General features: G+C 37.2%; 1 long non-coding RNA gene across 1 annotated transcript in view; it reads left to right on the top strand.

The window, feature by feature from the left end:
* The window catches only part of LINC02006 (long intergenic non-protein coding RNA 2006), a 378,977-nt gene that overhangs the window by 155,797 nt on the left and 201,534 nt on the right, over positions 1–21,646 (top strand). The window contains exon 4 of the long non-coding RNA NR_146713.1: positions 1,985–2,084. This is a non-coding gene — a long non-coding RNA (long intergenic non-protein coding RNA 2006). The remainder of the gene's footprint in view (positions 1–1,984; positions 2,085–21,646) is intronic.

Below are 21,646 nucleotides of genomic sequence, written 5' to 3'. Positions count from 1 at the left end.
GCTATCTGGAGAAGAATATAGTGAGATTTTCTCCGTAATTTTTCTTTTAGACATGGAGTAAGGGTTTGTCCCACCATCCTAGTCTGTCATATTGACGGAAGTCTTTCAGCTTATTTCTCAAAGTGGCCCACCTATATCCTCTAAAAAGTAAATAAATTTTAACATATTCATGCAGTTCAAGGAAAAACATGGTTCAGTGTTTCCCTCAAAACTATAAAATGTTTCTTTATTATATAAGTAATAATGTATACAAGTATTTCTATGTTTCTTCAATAAAATGTAAACTTCCTTGTAAATTGTTCTCTATAATATGTAAAGGATTATTTTAGTAGAGAATATCTTCAGTTGAAAGTGGTATGAATCCAAAGGTTCTATGGTCCTCATATGCCTTCCTCTAATTTGGGGACATAAAGGAACATTGGACCTTCTATTTGAGAATATAACCTAATTTCCCCCTCTATTAGCACACATTTAAGTTTTCTTTTACCTAACAGGGCAGAATGGTGCTTTTTCTATTGTCATTCACATCAGGAAATACATCATTTTATTCCATTTTTATTTATACGAACTTGTTATAGTAGGTTACATTTATTTTCATAAACAGATTTTCTCAGGGCTTTCCTCCTGTGAAAATTATCTTTGGGGGGTGTGTGTGTGTGAGAGTGTGTGTGTGTATGTATGTGTGTTTGTGATGGTTTGACTACCTCAGACTGGTATAATACTCCTGGGAGGATAATTCAGTTCACCTAATTATTGTGAGAAAAACAAGTTCATAGTCTCTAGCAGCAGATGCTGGTGAGGCTCTGTCAGCTGAATATTAACAGAGCTGTAGACAATCTCACTAAGAAGTTCCTGCCTCACCAGTTCACAATGTGAACCTGGGCCTTGCCAGCACCAGGTGAAAAGATTTTGTTATAGATGTTTGTTTGGGGGCTGATGATACCATTTTATGTCGTGTACATACTAGTGCATGTGCTGGGCAGGAGGAAAATGTACAACACATTTTTAAAATTTTAGCATGAATATTCAACACACTTGTCTCAGGAAACTTTTCTTCTTATCAATGGAAAAACACATGTCTGTCAGATACTTGTCATTGTGCCTGCCAAACCCTGCTAAGAAACAACAGTAGCCAACAATCTTTGAAAGATTTCGACTATCAAAGAGAATTCCAGCAATAGGGGGTGAGATTATGTCCTCAAACTCATGAAATGCTGAAAACTGCCACAAAGGGACTTGGATCTGGGAACAAGCAGGTACTTTTAGAGTTGAAAGGATGCTACGACTATTAAAAGTAATTTGCTCACATCCACCTAACAAAATATCACTCCAAAAGGTACCCAAATTAACAGGCTATTTTTATTTCTTCATTTGAAGAAAAGTGAAAATACGTGGAGAGAAATAAATTCAAAATCTTAACTACCTGGAAATAATTCTAAAAAGGATCCTTCCTCTGAATTGAAAAACAAATCATAGATTAGCTTCTGTTCTTTCATTTCCAGCATTAATTGAGGATGCTGGAAATGATGCTTTGAGATGATGCGGGGGCATGGGGTAAAAAGAAATGGTAAACGGGGCTGGGCGCGGTGGCTCACACCTGTAATCCCAGCACTTTGGGAGGCTGAGGCGGGTGGATCACGAGGTCAGGAGATCGGGACCATCCTGGCTAACACAGTGAAACCCCATCTCTACTAAAAATACAAAAAATTAGCTAGGCATGGTGGCGGGTGCCTGTAGTCCCAGCTACTCGGGAGGCTGAGGCAGGAGAATGGCTTGAACCCGGGAGGCAGAGCTTGCAGTGAGCCGAGATTGCGCCACTGCACTCCAGCCTGGGCGACAGAGCGAGACTCCGTCTAAAAAAAAAAAAGAAAGAAAAAAGAAATGGTAAACGGGAGAGAAATAATGTGCACTATTTTTATATATGAAACTTTAATTCTCACAATTATGCAGTAAAGAAGCTATTATCATTATCTCTATTTTACAGATGAGGAAACTGAGGCATGGAGCAGTCCACGTGAATGAGTCTCGTAGTAAGTGATGGAACTAGGATGCAACTCTCTGGTGTGAGTGCCCCACTCTGAGAGGTAAGGAAAGGAGTACACGGTTAGTACAACAGGAGCCATGCAGGGTCTTAAGTGGCTGCAGTAAATTCTAGTTAATATTTTCATAAATATAAAGATGCCAATGCACAGGATGCATTTCCATCCTTCCAGTGTTGTGCTCTGTTCCTTTTCTTTATTAGATTGATTTGAGGAATTGTTGGGATGGCATGTAAGCAGTGCTTACTATATCATTATCAGCACACCGGGTCAGCCGTATCATAGAAGAAAAGATACTCTGGTTTCAGAAGTAGGGTCATTTAAAATTGTAAACTATTCCTTTGTACCTTGTGGACCATGTTGCAAAATAGAACACAGTTATTAAGTCACTTATCTCTCTTAACCTCTGCATCATCAAATTTATTAGACAGTCAAAGCTTTTATTGCTTTTTGGGAAAAAATGCAATCCAAGATTTCACTGCTTTTAAAAATAATGTGCAAATATTATGTCTTACCCTAAGGAGAACTAACAATGATCCTCTGAATTCACTACTAAATATCTTTCAATCTAAGAAATTTCAGCTTTGCATTGCATTACCTCTGTGACAAAAGCAAAAGCAATTGCAGGGTTGTCTGCTTTTTTCTTCAGCTTCCACACTAAGTAATAGCTTAATCTAGCCCTTGATTCTAGTTGAGAGGCATTCCCTGGATCACAATAAACCTCATTTACTTTTTATTAACTACACTGTGTAATTGTGGTATTTTTTTCCTTTTATTGCATTGAAATTTGTCTGCCAATCATTTCCATTCCATGAAGTTAGTTTTGCCTCCAGTATCATCATCAGATCCAGTGGAACCCTTCTCTGCAGCCCAGGTAGATAATCTAAATAAGCTGTCGGGTAGCCTCCCACTAATTGTTTTCTTGTTTTCAAGAGAAATTTCCACAGTTTTGTCAATCATTCCTCAGGATATGATTTTCTTATGCTTCTTGCTACTCATTACCCCTTCTCAATCCATCCTTTTTTGCCAAAAGCCCACTCAGGATACTGCCCAGATGTAACACAATTCTGCAGATTTGGTCCTACCAGCCAGAGTGCACAAAGACAAAACTTGTTCTGGTTGCTTTTTTTCTATCAATGCATTTGATTAAGAAGATCCCTAGGCTGGGTGTGGTGGCTTATGCCTGTAATCCCAGCACTTTGGGAGGCCAAGGCGGGTGGATCATGAGGTCAAGAGATCGAGACCATCCTGGTCAACATGGTGGAATCCTGTCTCTACTAAAAACACAAAAATTAGCTGGGTGTGGTGGTGCACACTTGTAGTCCCAGCTACTTGGGAGGCTGAGGCAGGAGAACCGCTTGAATTCAGGAGGCGGAGGTTGCAGTGAGCCAAGATCATGCTACTGCACTCCAGTCTGGTGACAGAGCGAGACTCCATCTCAAAAAAAAAAAAAAAAATCCCTAATCAGACCATTTCTGTCAATTCCATAAGAAAAATATGCCAAAGAGGGGACCAAATAGGCAGAATAGTAGAACTGACTTGTATATACAACCATATTTTTTAAGCAGAGGGGGACCAACAAGGAAATGTATCTTCTAGGGACTAGATACCAAGTACTCACATTTCTATGGTTTTCTCGGCATGCAATGCTCTCTGTGTCTCCCATCTGCTTGGCAAACATCTGTTTGTCTTTCCAGCTACTCCTGAATAAAGAATTCTTGCCTGCCCTCAACCTCTGCTGAGTCAATCTGCCCTGAACACAGCACTGATGTGGGGGATACTTATGTTCTGTCTATAGTCACAGCTGATTGGGCAAAGAGGTGGGACCCCTAACTTAATGATGCTCATGGTGTGATCCAGCTCATAGATAGAGTGGAGTGGGGCCTACTGGCTTCTCTTTGGGGATGTAGAAACAGAGAGACCAGGTGCAGGAGCAGCCAGGTCATGGGTTATGTGGGGCTGCAGTGGCTCTCTTGTGCCATGCAAGCTGATGTCCTGGGGACAACAGCCCATAGAGAGAGGAGAATGGAGTGGACGCACAGGCAGAAACAGATTCTGTGTGTGAGGGACCATGTGGCCCTGAGTGGCTGCCCAGCTTCCTTGTGGCTTGCTGGTTGCTTCCATTTCTAGTCAATGACTGTATTTTTAATAAACCCTACTTTGCTTGAGGTGAAGGGAAGAACTACTCTTCTTTGAAACAAGAAGAGCCCTTGCCAAAGCCTCGTTCACATGGAATAACCACCTTGAATCTGTGGTCTCCCACTGTAGCAGATCCATGGTTCCCCAATGAGATACGCTACCCTTCTTGCTCCCTGCTAGACTGTAAAACTTCTTGAGAACCTGCATGTTGTTAGTACTTATTTCTCAATATAATAAGCCTTTGTTCCATGAATTTGTTATTACATAAAAGAATATTTATAGGATTGTGGATTTGCTGCTTGTAACATTTATTGGGTGTTGAGTATTTTTGTATTTCTATAAAAATTATTGAGCTTTGTTCTGGGATGTGGTTAAGGTACTTGGAAATAGTTTTATCCTCTAGAGTCTTATATTTAAGATTCATTAAGTAGAACCAGAGCAGTGCATATTTTGGGCTAATTATTCCCCATTACTGAAGCAAAACCATCCTGAATTTACCTAACTGTTGCCTGTAAGTGACAAGGTTTTTTTCCAGCCCGACTGTGGTAACAAGCATTATTTCTAGCCCTATGTGGATATCAGTCACTATTGCATTCCTCTAATCTTTTCAGATGCTTTCTTTTTCTGGCTTCAAGTCATTTTCTTATATACATGTGCTGCTAGTTCTCTGCTAGAGTTTCTAGAAGGACTCTCTGCCGATCTCAGGAGTTCTGTCTGTGCCACACTCTCCTCTCCTTCTCTGTGTCCTGTCCCATAAGATGTAGCTGCCTGATCCCCCTTAGACTGTCAACTCTGTCTTCTCAGCAGGGAGCGCACCAGGCTCTGCTTGAGTTTCCTCCCTGATCAGTGGCCTGGACACTGGCTCATGGCAGTGCTGGGAGCAGTCATTGAAATGGCTTCATTTGCCTCACTCTGGACTTACTGTCCTTCATTTCCTCTTGTCTCATGTCTTGAAAACTTTTATAAATATAAATTTTACCTCTTGGATATTTTTGTTGTTTGAGATAAAAGGGTAAACCCAGTGCTCATTGTTTTATCTTGGCAGGAAGTGGAAATTGTGTAACACTTGTTGACTTATTTCCTTAGGAAAGTTTGATAAATATTATAGTCAGTATACTTGCCTACATTTTGTCCAGTTGGATGATTTTTTTTAAATTTCTGCTTAGGACTTTAAGCAAAGAGACGTATAACACACATAATTTAAAGCAGGCCCTTTGAGCTACAAGTACCTGACATGAGTATAAGCATGTTTAATCTTTGATTTTATTGCTGCTCAAAATCAGGGCCAAAGTTAAAGGCAATGAGTTAATAATGGATTAAGATGCTATCACATTTTCTTTAGAAGAAATTCATTCCAGTGAACCATTTGAGTAAAAATAGTTTCCCAAGAGGAACTTAATTCTGGAAAGATAATTATCTGTTTTAGATGCCTGTAATTTTCAATTATGTTTGGTTAGCTTCCGAATTGTGAGTGTAGGAAGTGTTGCAAGACTTAAAAAGTTAGCTGATATGTACTTCATGCAATTGCTTTCCAAAGCACATGAGTGTCAAACATATTTAGGAAGAGACCATGGGCCTGCGTTCAAGAAACCCCTTCAAACATAAACATGCATGACTCTGTGAGCATGAAGCTACACCAAAAAATACTGCTAATTTTGTTATCAGTAATAGTATTATTTTTACATTTTCTTTAAAAACAAAGGAAATGACAAAATGATTTTTACCTCTACCTAGAAAAGCATCTACTTATCTGTAAGGTCCTGAAGGAAATAAATTCTTTCTCTTTCCATTTGCTTGTGCCTAAAGAATGGACCCCAAAGTCTCAAAGTTCCTAAACAAGTATAATAGAGAGAGGCCCATCACAGTAAGCCCTTCCACTTAGAAGCAGGGTCCCGCGTCTCTTCTATGGAGAAGCTCCCAGTATTTACCAGGCTGAGTAGAAGTTTCCCCCACTCTTTGCCCCTGGGCTGAAGGAATGCTGGTACTTTGTGCAGCCAGGCATGAAGCCCTTGGTTTCTCCAAGATTCTTTCCAGAGTTCTGATCTCAGGCCATTAAGCGAGAAAAGAGCCCAGTGATTAGCAAATGATAAAAATTATTTCTGGAAACAAGCAGAGCTTTTCATCACAACCGAATGCCTCCTTGAGGATACGTTTTCATGGTGATTCTTCAAATTGTCAACCTCCGCCAAATCTCACTCTCTTATAACCCATAACAAATCTTGGCTCTACATATCACATGTACCGTAGTTTTCCTTCTAAGGATCAGGTTTTAAAAACCAAAAAACCCAAACAATTGGATATATGATTTACCTCTTTTATTAACTCTAAAGATAAAAACCAACTATTGCCTCTAAAATTAGCCAAGTTAAATGTCCTTGATAATTAAGTCTCAGAAATAAAAATCTAGGTGATTTAATACAAAAAGGCACAAGGTGGAGGGAGATTAGAGGCTCCAACATAGCCTACAGGGACTAATGTATGTGCTTAGGTTCTGGCAGGCAGTCCAGCCACACATGAGCCTAAGGAAGCACTCTTCCCCATAGACTCGGAGGGCTGAGGAGTGGCAGAAGCCAAGGAATGATTCACTCACGGAGAACAGAAACCACAGGGGTGACCATGAATCTTTGTTGATGGCCAGCCAGCTTTGCTGACCACAGTTTACTCTTTGGACTCAAATAAGTCTGGCCACAGTCAGGGAAGTAAGGTATAAGGGTCACAAATCAGGGCAAGATAATAGATCCATTGTGCTTTCTGTGTCTTATTAGTGACTTTGCAAGGCTGGCAGTGGCAGTGTGTGCTATGAACCATATTTATGTTTTCCTGAAGGCAGTGTTGATCACCCAGTCTGGCTGGGAGCTCTGTGTGATAAAGGATTCGTGCCCACAGTGGACTAGGGGTAAGGTCCTTATTGTCTGTCTTTCCCCTGAAGTGCTGGATATGGGTTTTGAACACAATAGGCACTGATCGTTGGTGGTAATGGCCATCAATTAGTAGACTCTGGTGATTTTAGCCAACACCTTGTTTCTAAGACTTTGTTCCACTGCTCAGTCCAGGCAGATTCCTGAATCTGCCTATCCAGATCACCTTTCTGAACTTGAAGTCTATTATCTATGATAACCTGTGAAATTTGCTTTATCCTGCTAGTGTTTCTCAATGACAGCACTATGGTTAATTTGGGTCATACAGTTCTTGGGTGGGTGGGACTGTCTCAGTGCTTGCCTTGTAACATCCCTAGTCTCATGCCACTAAATGCCAGTATCAACTGTCATTGTGAGAAGCAAACCTATCCTCAGACATTTATAGACGTCCTACCTCAATCAAGTGCAGTATCCTGTTGTATATAAACCTGAACCCCTCATCCGCTTCCACACTGTCTGCTCAGACTTCTGCACTTCTGGGTGCCCCACCAGATCACTTGTCTTTCATTCCTAATCTCAGGACTTTTCTTCAGGTGGCACAATTCTCTTTCCCTAAACTTGTTCTGCCACAGCTATGCTTTCTAAATCCACCATCATTTATCATATATGAATTCAGAATAATGTTTTTTATTTTCATGAAAATTCAAAAGTGGCTAATGCACACTGTAGCATGAGGTTTATTTATTTTTCTTATTTGAAATCAAAACCAATAACCTTAATGGTTTTGAAGAGATTCTCTGAACTTAGTCATCTCTATTATTCTGAAAATAATTTGTGAAAAAAAGTTGTACGTGGGAGTGTGTGTGCGTATACATATTTATGTATACATACATAGAGATACACTTGTATAATAATAAATTTTTTCATAATGTAAAGAAAGAGCCTAATATATAGAGGGCTCATTCTGAAGAGGAAGAAAAGAAGCTGGGACTTCAATTTTATAACGTGTAATGTCCAAAGAAAGAGAGAACCCTTTCCTTGTTCCAATTAAGGAGCATGACAGAGGGAAAAAAAAGCTTAAATCATAGCAATTGTGCATTAGCTTAAATAAAAGGTGTTTTCCTCATCAGAGATAATAACAAACTTTGGAATAGACTATGATGGAACTGAGACTTCATCTCTTGACATGCATAATACACTTCATTTGTCCTGGTCTGTATTTTAGATGAGTGAGTTCAAGTAGGAGCACAGAGATTGTATCAGTAGGGAGGATCACTGTTGGTTTCAAGATTTGTCTAAATAGTCCAGGCATCCTCTTTTTGAATTCATTAACCTGATTCCACCAACGCCATTGAGAGCCTATCATGTGCAAGGCACTATGCTACAGCAGTCTCATTACCTTACTTTTCACATACATTAATATTTTACTCATAATAAAGCTGTTTTGGATCTCATTAAAAAAATTTAAAAATCCTGGTAATGAGTAATAAATAAAGCTGGGGTCGGAATTCAGGCCTCAGACTATAATAATCTACCTAAATACCCACATTGCAGTTGAAATTAAAGGCCCAGAGAGACTGAATGGTTTACTCATTGCCACACAGTGATGAAATAATTTGTCTTCACAAAATGAAAAAAAAATTATAGTAGCTAATGAAGGGAGGAACAGACAAGCACTGTGAGCCTACCAAAACATTTTGAACTACCACACTAGGTAACTTTTAAGGTATCTTCCATTATAGGAGATTTACTGTGCCAAGACACCAGCTGAAGTGCCTTGTTTTCCAAACTGAGATGCCAAGACACTGCTGTGTTAAGAAGTTGAATCATGAATTTGAATGTATTTTTAACATAACGTTAAATTTCAAGGAAATGGCAGGCATGCAGTGTCTGAATCAGGCTAAAGCTTATATTCCATGGGATATGCTTATATTGTCACCATCCATTGGGTTACTTTAGTGAGAAAGTTTGCAAAGCATTGGGCTAGAAGAATATGAAGTATTTTTTTCCTGGTCAGCAATAAGTGCAGCTACATAAATCCACCTGGATAAGATGAGAGCTCTTATTTCATCTAATCAAATCTGTTTCATCTTACAAAGAGAAAAAGAGCAATAAAACAAACAAAAAAAACCAGTAAAAATAATCGTGACATTTTATCTGTAAACAAATATGCTCAAACAGCAATGCTTTCAGTTATATCTGTTATAAAATCTCCTGATCATCTCACTGTGATGGAATTCTTCTGCATCTAATACATATCTTGTTATCTTGACTCTTTTCCCATCTTATGAATAGATAACTTTGAACAAATACATATTCCTGTCTCGATTTTTAAAATTTATAACCTTTAAAATAATGACATTTATGCCTACCTATCTTATAAACTGAATAATAAAGTTATCCCAGGTTGAGCTTTGACCTATAATGGCAGCAGAATAATTTGCTTAGAGCATGTAGCAATTAATATGATTTGAGTTGTAAAGTATACACATTTTATTCATTTTATTACTTATTATCTTCCATAGGGAAGAAGAGCTATTAAAAATTTTATTTGGGCTACTAAATTTTCAATTCCTATTTATAAGGATGATCTTGTTTTTAAATAAAAAACAGAAAGATTACAAAATAAATATTTTATCATTTGAGAATATGTGACTGAAATTAAATAAATGTTAAACTACAATGTTCTTTTTTATGTAATTAGACTATACCAGTAGGAATTTTTATTTTTATTTGAGCAATTTTTAGATATATTCTAAAATGTTATAAGTGTCAAAGATTTTCATTACGTTTGAGTGCATCAAAGTGCTTTTGATATTTTATCTGCAAAATGTCCTGTGGGACACCAAAATTTCTCTGCTAATGAGTTTATGCGGTTGTTATTTTTATTGTGCAAAATGATGGCCTTTATTTCTTTAGCATTCAGAACTTTTTATAGGATCCTTTTGACAAAGAAATAATTTTCCACCTTATAGTGACTTAAGGAAAATTAAATACACGAGATTGCTTTCGAAAACACCAAAGTTTCTATCAGAAGTTTTGCTATGGGTGTCCTTGCATCCTGTGTCTGTGAAACTGAACACCAGATTTTATTCAAATGACTCTGCTGATTGACATTCATTTCAATACAGTCATTTCTGAACTGGTCTATAGAAAAATATCTCAGCAAACTCTGCCACAAAAAAACATATCGATTGACTAATTTAAACAATTAGTTTGACCCAGCAATCCCATTACTGGGTATATACCCAAAGGATTATTCTACTATAAAACACTTGCACACGTATGTTTATTGCAGCACTGTTCACAATAGCAAAGACTTGGAACCAACTTGAATGCCCATCAATGATAGACTGGATGAAGAAAACGTGACACATATACACCATGGAATACTATGCGGCCATAAAAAAGGACGAGTTCATGTCCTTTGCGGGGACATGGATGAAGCTGGAAACCATCATTCTCGGCAAACTAACACAAGAACAGAAAACCAAATACCACATGTTCTCACTCATAAGTGGGAGTTGAACAATGAGAACACATGGACACAGGGAGGGGAACATCACACACCAGGACCTGTCAGGGGGTGGGGAGCTAGGGGAGGGATAGCATTAGGAGAAATACCTAATGTAGATGACAGGTTGATAGGTGCAGCAAACAACCATGGCACATGTATACCTATGTAACAAACCTGCATGTTCTGCACATGTATCCCAGAACTTAAAGTATAATAAAACAATTTTAAATAAAGAGTATTCCTCTTTGACTTCAGATGCACAAATATTTGATTTCACTTTGAAGGCCTAATACAAAGTCACACATGCAGTATACCTACGTAAATGACATGGGAAATAACCCAGTTGAGACTAGCTTCTTTAAATCATAAGGTTGCATAGATACCCCATACCAAAAACCTCTGGAAGCCCATACAAAGGCTGTGAATACCAGTTAGGTTGTTGATCTATTATGTGACAGTTACAAGACAATAAGGGAAGACTGAAACAATAAAATATCTTTCATAGGCAACTAATATATGACTATGTAGGTAATTGTAACATAAGAGCAACTGTACTTAGTTTTCTATGATCCAATGTAAGCAGCATTTCTATTGATTCTTCCTATTAGTTTTGTTAATCCTATCCAACTAAATATCTCAACACTAAGGAGTACTCTGCAGTATAGGACTTTTCAATGTCAGTACTACTGACATCTTGGGCCAGATAATTCTTTGTTGTCAGGGGCTGTCCAGTGCATTGTAGGATGTTTAACAACATCCCTGGTTTCTCTCCACTAGGTGACAGTAGCACCTTTCTACTAATCTCTCTACCCCAGTGGTAATAATATCTCCAAACACTGCCAAATTTCCCCTGGGAAGCAAAATCATCCTGATTGAGAACTACTGCTACAGAGCCAAGAAGGGGAAAATTTCTTTTTCCCAGTCTCATTTTCTTTCTGTCATCTTGAAAGAGACTCCCTCATGATTACATGGCATCCTACATAGTTACTGAGAGGGGTCACACTTCGAGCTTCTATTTAAAATACAGCAATATTTTATTGAGGACTCAGGAACCAAAATTTCCATCTTGGGATAATGTCTAATATTTTTTGTATTGAAAACTTGTCCCAATTGGTTTTATGCAGAAACTAAATTTCTCAAAGGAATGTAGCACCTCACTTCCTTATCTGCACAGAGAAAAAAGGAATTTCTGCTCATGAGCAGCTATTAAGCAGCTTTTAAGCTTTTCATGTATGAATCATGTGGGAATGTGTTAGTTGCAGGTGGCAGAGATTTTAACTTCTTGTCTAAAGTCAAGAGCAGGGCCTGCTTTTGTGCCGCTCAGTGCAGGGGTTAGTATAGCTGCCAGAACCTTATGTCTTGGCTTACCTGTGCTATCTTGCTTGAACAGTAATAGATGGGAGGGAATTAGTAGTTCTTAGTTTGCTGGAAGAAAGTTAAGTGATTTCCAAGTACAAAAGTAACATATGATCATTTGTAGGTGTTTCTATTATGTGTCACCAAAAAATTTATAAGGTCATTGAGAGAAGGGATGGCATCTTACACTTCATTTTATTCCTGTGGAAACTTCATCATGTTTTGTGCCCAGCAGACACACAATATAGAATTTGTAGGTTGAAAGGGGCTTGTAAATCATACATCTTTTCTCACAAAAAGATCAAAGCAGTTTTTATGTTTAAAAACAATGTACAATTCTCAAGGATTTTTTTCAGGGAATAAGATTACCAGAGGAGAAGGATGCTATCCTATTTTAAAGAATATTAAATTAAGTAGTAATTTACACAATATCATTCTGAGAGAAGGCAGATCAAAGAGTAGTTTCTAAGAAAGGGAAGAGGAGAATGCAAATATATTATTATTGCTAAGAATTTATTTCAGTAACAAATCTGAATTCTCCTATATAAATGTCTTTTTATATAGGAGAACTCTATGTATATGCATATGTATGTATATGTATATATATGTATACACACTCATGTGTATATATAAGTTTGTGTGTGTGTGTGTGTAGCACAGGTAAGCCAAGAGATAAGGTTCTGGCAGCTGGAATAACCCCTGCACTGAGTTGGACAAAAGCAGGCACTGCTCTTGACTTTAGACAATAGGTTAAGATCTCTGCCACATGCAACCAACACATTCCTACCTAATTCATACATGAAAAGCTTTAGAAGCTGCATAATAGCTGTTCATGAGCAGCCCACTCTTTATATGTGTGTGTGTGTATATATATATATACACTTATGTGTGTGTATGTATATATACACACACATATACCAGTGTGTGTGTATATATATATATATATATATATATATATATATCTTTTGGATATAAAACCAGAAGAGAGGACTTAATGAATCTCTGGATTCTCAGAAACAGAACAAAAAGATCTAAGTGTCCGTAATCAGATTAAATAAAAAATAATAATAAAGCTAATTTATATCATGTTTGCTTTAGGGTTTATTTGGAAGAGAAAATTAAGCTTAGGAAATGAGCAGTCTAACTTCATATCCAATTAAATATATTGGGAAACTACATGGTGTTTGATACTACCTGGAAAATGAAACCAGACAATGCATTATCAATGAGAGTTCTGGTTTTCATCAGTATCACGCTTCATTCACCACAAAGAATAATAGCATGGTGCCCCCCTTGTGCGTTCTAATGACACATCTCTGTATGTGAGAAATGTAATTGTCATCTCACAAAACAGAACACATTATGTTAGATGAGGTCTTATATTTCCACATATTTTAGCAGAAGCAAGAGCATTCTCATTTGCACAACAAATGTGTTCAGTTCCAAAAACACAATTATTTCTTCTAGTGCAATGAGGATGTGATTTAAAATAATTAATATGAAGGCTGTATGTTTTTTATTTGTGGAAAAAAGCATAATTCTAAATTACTTATGTAAATATGTTCAGATGCACTCTACACAAATATCCAATGTGTTTCACTGAAAACAATACACTTAATATTTTGCCAACCGAAATAACAATAAATTAGATCTTGTGATGTTTCAAAATAATTTCTTTCAAGTTGGAGATGATTGCTTGTTTAAAACTTAGAAAAACAGATACTAATTTACATAAACAAACAATTTAAATAAGAAAAAATCCTATCAGAAATGTCAGTAGAAAGAATTGTAGAAGCACCTCTTTTATATTTAAAGTAGATTCGATTTTTGTTGAATAAAGTGTCCCCCAACCTACCATTTTGCAACAGGTATTGTTAATGATCTGAGAAACCCTTGTTTGCAGAGATGATCCCACTGCTAAGTTTGGGTTTGTACAGTTTGGGTGATGTTGGCAACCAATAAAAGAAGTCACAAATTCATTGAGGAAGTAGCATTCACCTTCAAAACAGAGTTGGTGAGGTTGGGGTGTTCACTGCATGGGAAAATGTTCTTCTGGCAATTAGGCATGTTTATACATTTTTAAAATTCATTTTTTTTCTAACAAAACCAGATAAAGGGAAGGTTGGTTACTGTTTCAGGTTTCTGCTACTTACAAATCACAATTTATCTGGCTTCTCTGATCCTTGATTTCCTTGTCTGTAAAATAAAGATAATGTTAGCTATTTATAGAACTGCTTGGGAGATTATACAAGAAAAGGAATGTGAAAGAATTGAGCACAGGGACTGGGACACTGAAGCCTCAGTCAATGTTTGTTCCTCTTCTTATTCCCTCACTCCTGTCACTCCATACTCTTAGGTGACTTCCAGCTTCTGGTTATCTTGTTCCATCCGGCCAGAACCTGCAAAGACCTCTTCTTGGAGGTTTCTCTGGTTCTACCTTGGACCAAAGATTTCAATGAAAGGGGTTAAATTCTCAGAGTAGAATCACAGGGATCAGACTGTAGGTAGAAAGAGATTTTGGGCTCTCCCTGACCTTCCTACCAGGTAAAAAAGAAAATACAGAATTGATGCTAGCAAAATTTTCTTCAGATTTAACCTACCCACTGAGTATTAGTATTGCAGTAACTGCACTTAGATCTCTAGGAGTACTATAGCTAGTGAGAACAATGGCAGGGCTACAGTCTAGGATTACCTTAAAGAAATGGCCAGTTGCCTAATGAGAATTGCCACACTAGGTTCTAGGGAAATTTTCTGGTGGTCATAAATCAAATTTAATCTCCGGCTTTCAAAACCCTAAGCTGTGGTGAAGCCACAGGGAAGCTTTGGTTGTGTCATCTTTCCATCTTCCTCTTCCTTTGGACACTAGAACATGCAGGGTGATCTGTGCAATAAATGAGGCAAAAAAAACTTCTTGTCCTCCTTCCACAGGTTTCCATTCAAATTCTTCACTGAAAAGCAAGACCCACATTGTTCCTGCAGTTACTTTCTCCTGGCATGGACTTGAAGTTAGTCAGGAACTTGACCTCCATTAATGTTGAGGATTCTCACTTCCATATTTACCTCTGCTATCAGAAAAGTCATCTAAAACCTGCATTCTTTTATTCTTTATCAAATCTTCCCTCAAAATTCCTTTGGGGTGGAGTAATTTAGGAAAGCAACCACATCCATGTTCTATGGTGAAAATAGTATGGACTTTGGAATTAAGTAGACCCAGGTTGATTTCTTATGTAGCTAACTGGCTCTGTGAGTTTGCAGACCATTGCTTTAGGCAAACCATTTAATCACTCTGAGTGTTTGTCTGCTCATTGCTGAAGTTAGGAAAGTTATACTACCATGCAAAGTTGCTGCAATGGTTGAATACATACTAGAATATACATATACATATACATATACATATACATATACATATACATATACATACACACATACACATACATATACATATAGAATACCTGGAATTTAGTAGAATATCAATGGATGATAATTGGCCTATACAGTAATTTCTGATATAGTAAAAGCTGCATCATTAGATTCTCTCCTTATAAAAATTCCACATCTCATTTTTACCTTCTTCATAGTGTTTACTAACCTCTATATCTAACAGATACCTTCTTTGTTTTCTTTCTTTCTTTTTTCTTTTTAACATGTGGTACTAAGGGAAAGAAAATAAGTGTGAAGTGATTTGTAGAGAAATTTTGTTTCTGTCTTTCTTCTTTCTGTCATCTCCTCTGGCATGCTTTATTTTCAGTTCCAGTCTTAGTGACATCAGACACACAGGACTACTATGAAACTCTTGTCCCTAAAGGAGAAAAAGATAAATCTTCAATGCCATTGCACTTTGATTTCTGTTCATTAATTTTCCCTTAGTTGGTACTGCTCTGATTACTGAATGCAATTTTAAAAAATCACCAGAAGCAAGGGTTTCAGAAATATAAATTAGGCAATGTCTTCTCAGTTTTCAGTTTTATCTTTTATTTTTTTGAGTGAAATTTTGTGTAGTACTCATTAACTTTGCTTCTTGAATTATATTAGATTCCATATTAGAATAATTTATATTAGTTGATCCTAGTTCATGAAGACTTTCAGTCTTCTCTTTCTTCCCAGCCAATAAATGAGATCCATTCTTCCAACCCTACTCCCCCATGCTGCAGTACTTCTCTCTCTCATTTTTTTTTCTCATTTCATCTTGAATATGGTGATTAGACACTTTTTTTCTTCTTTCTGAAGAGGTTGTAAACCCTTTGGCACCACATTTTATTTAGCGTTCTTAATTTCTCACGAGTTCTAGCTAACACTTAACATAGAGTAGAGGCTGACTGCATGTGAAATGAGGAAATCCAAATTACATAGAACATTAAATTACTATGAATTTAAAAGGCTTATAATGATCTTCTTAAAGCATAGCATACCAGCTATACTCGTTTTTAAAAGAATTTCAGAAAACGGTTTATAATTTATGGCAATTAGAATGAATTTTCTTATAGCAAGAATGTTAAAAATGGTGGTTATATTCCCAAACCAGCTTTTAAAAATGCCTGTTATTACACAATAAACTTAGAGCAGGAGAGCAAACACTGGACATGCCTTTCTAAAAACTTCCCTCAACATTCCTCACTTTCCTGTCTTCTCTACTGGCTAAGCAGCAAAGGAAGTCTTTAATGTGAGTTTAATGGAAGTCATAAAAATGGATTTTTTAGCAAGAATGATATGTCAATTTAGGATATTTTCTTCCAGAAACTAACTCTAGTTGAATCAGTTCCCCCAAATAAGGATGGTATGGAGTAGAGATCAAAAGTTATGTGTAGGGTACATAGCTTTGGCAATGATTGTGGAATTCCTACACATTTTAACATTCTATAAATGTTTTATTTCACTGGTTTATAAGAATATCCACAACTTTTCCTCATAAAATCACAGCAATGGTTGGAAAGCTGGTTAGTTAAAAGTTGTTCATTAATGGAAGAAGAAAAAAAATCCTACTACTATTTATTATTTGAAAATCATCTTCAGCATGCAAATACAAATAGAATAGTTATAGCTAACCAGATGGTTTTAATAGATAGGTAATCATGGAATTTAGCAAGAAGTTCTCAAAAACTAAATGAATCATTGAATTTTCAGTTGTCACAGAAATTTAGAAAAAGTAGTATATATTGATCACTTAATGACCAATGATTTAATATAATAAAGTACTATGATTATTTTCAAGATTTTCTAAATGTAAAATATAAATAAAATGGACATATGAGAAAGTATTATTTGAACTCAACCAGAAAGTATTTCTTAGATATAAAAGGCTTATTGTTTTTAGTGAATTTAGTAAAAAATTTGAGTTTTCTAATTACTAAATGCAATTTTTTCCCAATGCCGTTAACAATTTTGTATATACTTTATCGACTGACCATTACAAAAGCAAAACAGAAATCTTACAACTTGACAGAAGAAAACTCTCCATAGCATTTCCATGAAAGGTAGAGCTAACAAGAATCTTGAAAAGATCTTCCTCCACACTTCCCTCATGTCTAAGGCTACATGAGGCATCAACAGAAAAAGATTCATATTACACAAGATCACTGTGAGCCCAGAGGCACAAGCAAAAGGTTTTTTTCTGGGTATTTTTGTGTTTCTAACCTTCCATGGAGACAGAAAGAGAACTCGACTTTCAATAAGTTAAAAGCAAGCACAAGAAACATTCTCAAAACCCAGACTATTTCTAGTACATATAACTCTTTGACAAAATGGACTACCAAATTAAAAAAAAATACATATATCTATATGTGTATATATGGCAACCAAAGGAAATAAAAGATATAAAGTAGAACACGGGAAAATCTATCAATGAAATAAGTCACCAGAGAGAATAATATTAAAACAATATGTTTTCAGATAGTAAAAAGGCCGCAACACTGCATTTTGGGACTTTATAAAATAGAATTCAGACCTACTGTTTGTTTGTTTTTTTATTATGATTATACATTACGTTTTAGGGTACATGTGCACAACGTGCAGGTTTGTTACATGTGCCATATTGGTGTGCTGCACCCATTAACTCGTCATTTAGCATTAGGTATATCTCCTAATGCTATCCCTCCCCCCTCCCCCCACCCCACAACAGGCCCCGGTGTATGATGTACCCCTTCCTGTGTCCATGTGTTCTCATTGTTCAATTCCCACCTATGAGTGAGAACATGCAGTGTTTGGTTTCTTGTCCTTGCATAGTTTGCTGAGAATGATGGTTTCCAGCTTCATCCATGTCCCTACAAAGGACATGAACTCATCATTTTTTATGGCTGCATAGTATTCCATGGTGTATATGTGCCACATTTTCTTAATCCAGTCTATCATTGTTGGACATTTGGGTTGGTTCCAAGTCTTTGCTATTGTGAATAGGGCCGCAATAAACATACGTGTGCCTGTGTCTTTATAGCAACATGATTTATAATTCTTTGGGTATATACCCAGTAATGGGATGGCTGGGTCAAATGGTATTTGTAGTTCTAGATCCCTGAGGAATCGCCACACTGACTTCCACAATGGTCGAACTAGTTTACAGTCCCACCAAAAGTGTAAAAGTGTTCCTATTTCTCCACATCCTCTCCAGCACCTGTTGTTTCCTGACTTTTTAATGATCACCATTCTAACTGGTGTGAGATGGTATCTCATTGTGGTTTTGATTTGCATTTCTCTGATGGCCAGTAATGATGAGCATTTTTTCATGTGTCTTTTGGCTGCATAAATGTCTTCTTTTGAGAAGTGTCTGTTCATATCCTTCGCCCACTTGTTGATGGGGTTGTTTGTTTTTTTCTTGTAAATTTGTTTGAGTTCTTTGTAGATTCTGGATATTAGCCCTTTGTCAGATGAGTAGATTGCAAAATTTTTCTCCCATTCTGTAGGTTGCCTGTTCATTCTGATGGTAGTTTCTTTTGCTGTCCAGAAGCTCTTTAGTTTAATTAGATCCCATATGTCAATTTTGGCTTTTGTTGCCATTGCTTTTGGTGTTCTAGACATGAAGTCCTTGCCCATGCCTATGTCCGGAATGGTATTGCCTAGGTTTTCTTCTAGGGTTTTTATGGTTTTAGGTCTAACATTTAACTCTTTAATCCATCTTGAATTTTGGCATCGATGTTCATCAGGGATATTGGTCTAAAATTCTCTTTTTTTGTTGTGTCTCTGCGAGGCTTTGGTATCAGGATGATGCTGGCCTCATAAAATGAGTTAGGGAGGATTCCCTCTTTTTCTACTGATTGGAATAGTTTCAGAAGGAATGGTACCAGCTCCTCCTTGTACCTCTGCTAGAATTTGGCTGTGAATCCGTCTGGTCCTGGACTTTTTTTGGTTGATAAGCTATTAATTATTGCCTCAATTTCAGAGCCTGTTATTGGTCTATTCAGAGATTCAACTTCTTCCTGGTTTAGTCTTGGGAGGGTGTATGTGTCGAGGAATTTATCCATTTCTTCTAGATTTTCTAGTTTATTTGTATAGAGTTGTTTATAGTATTCTCTGATGGTAGTTTGTATTTCTGTGGGATTGGTGGCGATATCCCCTTTATCATTTTTTATTGCGTCTGTTTGATTCTTCTCTCTTTTCTTCTTTATTAGTCTTGCTAGCAGTCTATCAATTTAGTTGATCTCAAAAAACCAGCTCCTGGATTCATTGATTTTTTGAAGGGTTTTTTGTGTCTTTATCTCCTTCAGTTCTGCTCTGATCTTAGTTATTTCTTGCCTTCTGCTAGCTTTTGAATGTGTTTGTTCTTGCTTCTCTAGTTCTTTTAATTTTGATGTTAGGGTGTCAATTTTAGATCTTTCCTGTTTTCTCTTGTGGGCATTTAGTGCTATAAATTCCCTCTACACACTGCTTTAAATGTGTCCCAGAGATTCTGTTATGTTGTCTTTGTTCTCATTGGTTTCAAAGAACATCTTTATTTCTGCCTTCATTTTATTATGTACCCAGTAGTCATTCAGGAGCAGGTTGTTCAGTTTCCATGTAGTTGGTCGGTTTTGAGTGAGTTTCTTAATCCTGAGTTCTAGTTTGATTGCACTGTGGTCTGAGAGACAGTTTGTTATAATTTCTGTTCTTTTACATTTGCTGAGGAGAGCTTTACTTCCAACTATGTGGTCAATTTTGGAATAAGTGTGGTGTGGTGCTGAGAAGAATGTATATTCTGTTGATTTGGGGTGGAGAGTTCTGTAGATGCCTATTAGGTCTACTTGGTGCAGAGCTGAGTTCAATTTCTGGATATCCTTGTTAACTTTCTGTCTTGTTGATCTGTCTAATGTTGACAGTGGGGTGTTAAAGTCTCCCATTATTATTGTGTGGGAGTCTAAGTCTCTTTGTAGGTCTCTAAGGACTTGCTTTATGAATCTGGGTGCTCCTGTATTGGGTGCATATGTATTTAGGATAGTTAGCTCTTCTTGTTGAATTGATCCCTTTACCATTATGTAATGGCCTTCTTTGTCTCTTTTGATCTTTGTTGGTTTAAAATCTGTTTTATCAGAGACTAGGATTGCAACCCCTGCCTTTTTTTGTTTTCCATTCACTTGGTAGATCTTCCTCCATCCCTTTATTTTGAGCCTATGTGTATCTCTGCACATGAGATGAGTTTCCTGAATACAGCACACTGATGGGTCTTGACTCTTTATCCAATTTGCCAGTCTGTGTGTTTTAATTGGAGCATTTATCCCATTTACATTTAAGGTTAATATTATTATGTGTGAATTTGATCCTGTCATTATGATGTTAGCTGGTTATTTTGCTCGTTAGTTGATGCAGTTTCTTCCTAGCCTGGATGGTCTTTACAATTTGGCATGTTTTTGCAGTGGCTGGTACTGGTTGTTCCTTTCCATGTTTAGTGCTTCCTTCAGGAGCTCTTTTAGGTCAGGCCTGGTGGAGACAAAATCTCTCAGCATTTGCTTGTCTGTAAAGTATTTTATTTCTCCTTCACTGATGAAGCTTAGTTTGGCTGGATATGAAATTCTGGGTTGAAAATTCTTTTCTTTAAGAATGTTGAATATTGGCCCCCACACTCTTCTAGCTTGTACAGTTTCTGCCGAGAGATCAGCTGTTAGTCTGATGGGCTTCCCTTTGTGGGTAACCCAACCTTTCTCTCTGGCTGCCTTTACCATTTTTTCCTTCATTTCACTGTGGTGAATCTGACAATTATGTGTCTTGGAGTTGCTCTTCTCGAGGAGTATCTTTGTGGCATTCTCTGTATTTCCTGAATTTGAATGTTGGCCTGCCTTGCTAGATTGGGGAAGTTCTCCTGGATAATATCCTGCAGAGTGTTTTCCAACTTGGTTCCATTCTCCCCATCACTTTCAAGTACATCAATCAGACGTAGATTTGGTCTTTTCACATAGTCCCATATTTCTTGGAGGCTTTGTTTGTTTCTTTTTATTCTTTTTTCTCTAAACTTCTCTTCTCACTTCGTTTCATTCATTTGATCTTCCATCACTGATACTCTTTCTTCCAGTTGGTCTAATGAGCTACAGAAGCGTGTGCATTTGTCACGTAGTTCTCGTTCCATGGTTTTCAGCTCCATCAGGTCCTTTAAGGACTTCTCTGCATTGGTTATTCTAGTTAGCCATTCTTCTAATCTTTTTTCAAGGTTTTTAACTTCTTTGCGATGGGTTCGAACTTCCTCCTTTAGCTTGGAGAAGTTTGATCATCTGAAGCCTTCTTCTCTCAACTCATCAAAGTCATTCTCCGTCCAGCTTTGTTCCGTTGCTGGTGAGGAGCTG

Source organism: Homo sapiens, chromosome 3 (assembly GCF_000001405.40).
Source record: "Homo sapiens chromosome 3, GRCh38.p14 Primary Assembly".
In the NCBI taxonomy this organism is placed as follows: Eukaryota; Metazoa; Chordata; class Mammalia; order Primates; family Hominidae; genus Homo; species Homo sapiens.
Note: the sequence above shows the minus strand (reverse complement) of the source record. Positions and strands in the feature narration are given on the sequence as shown.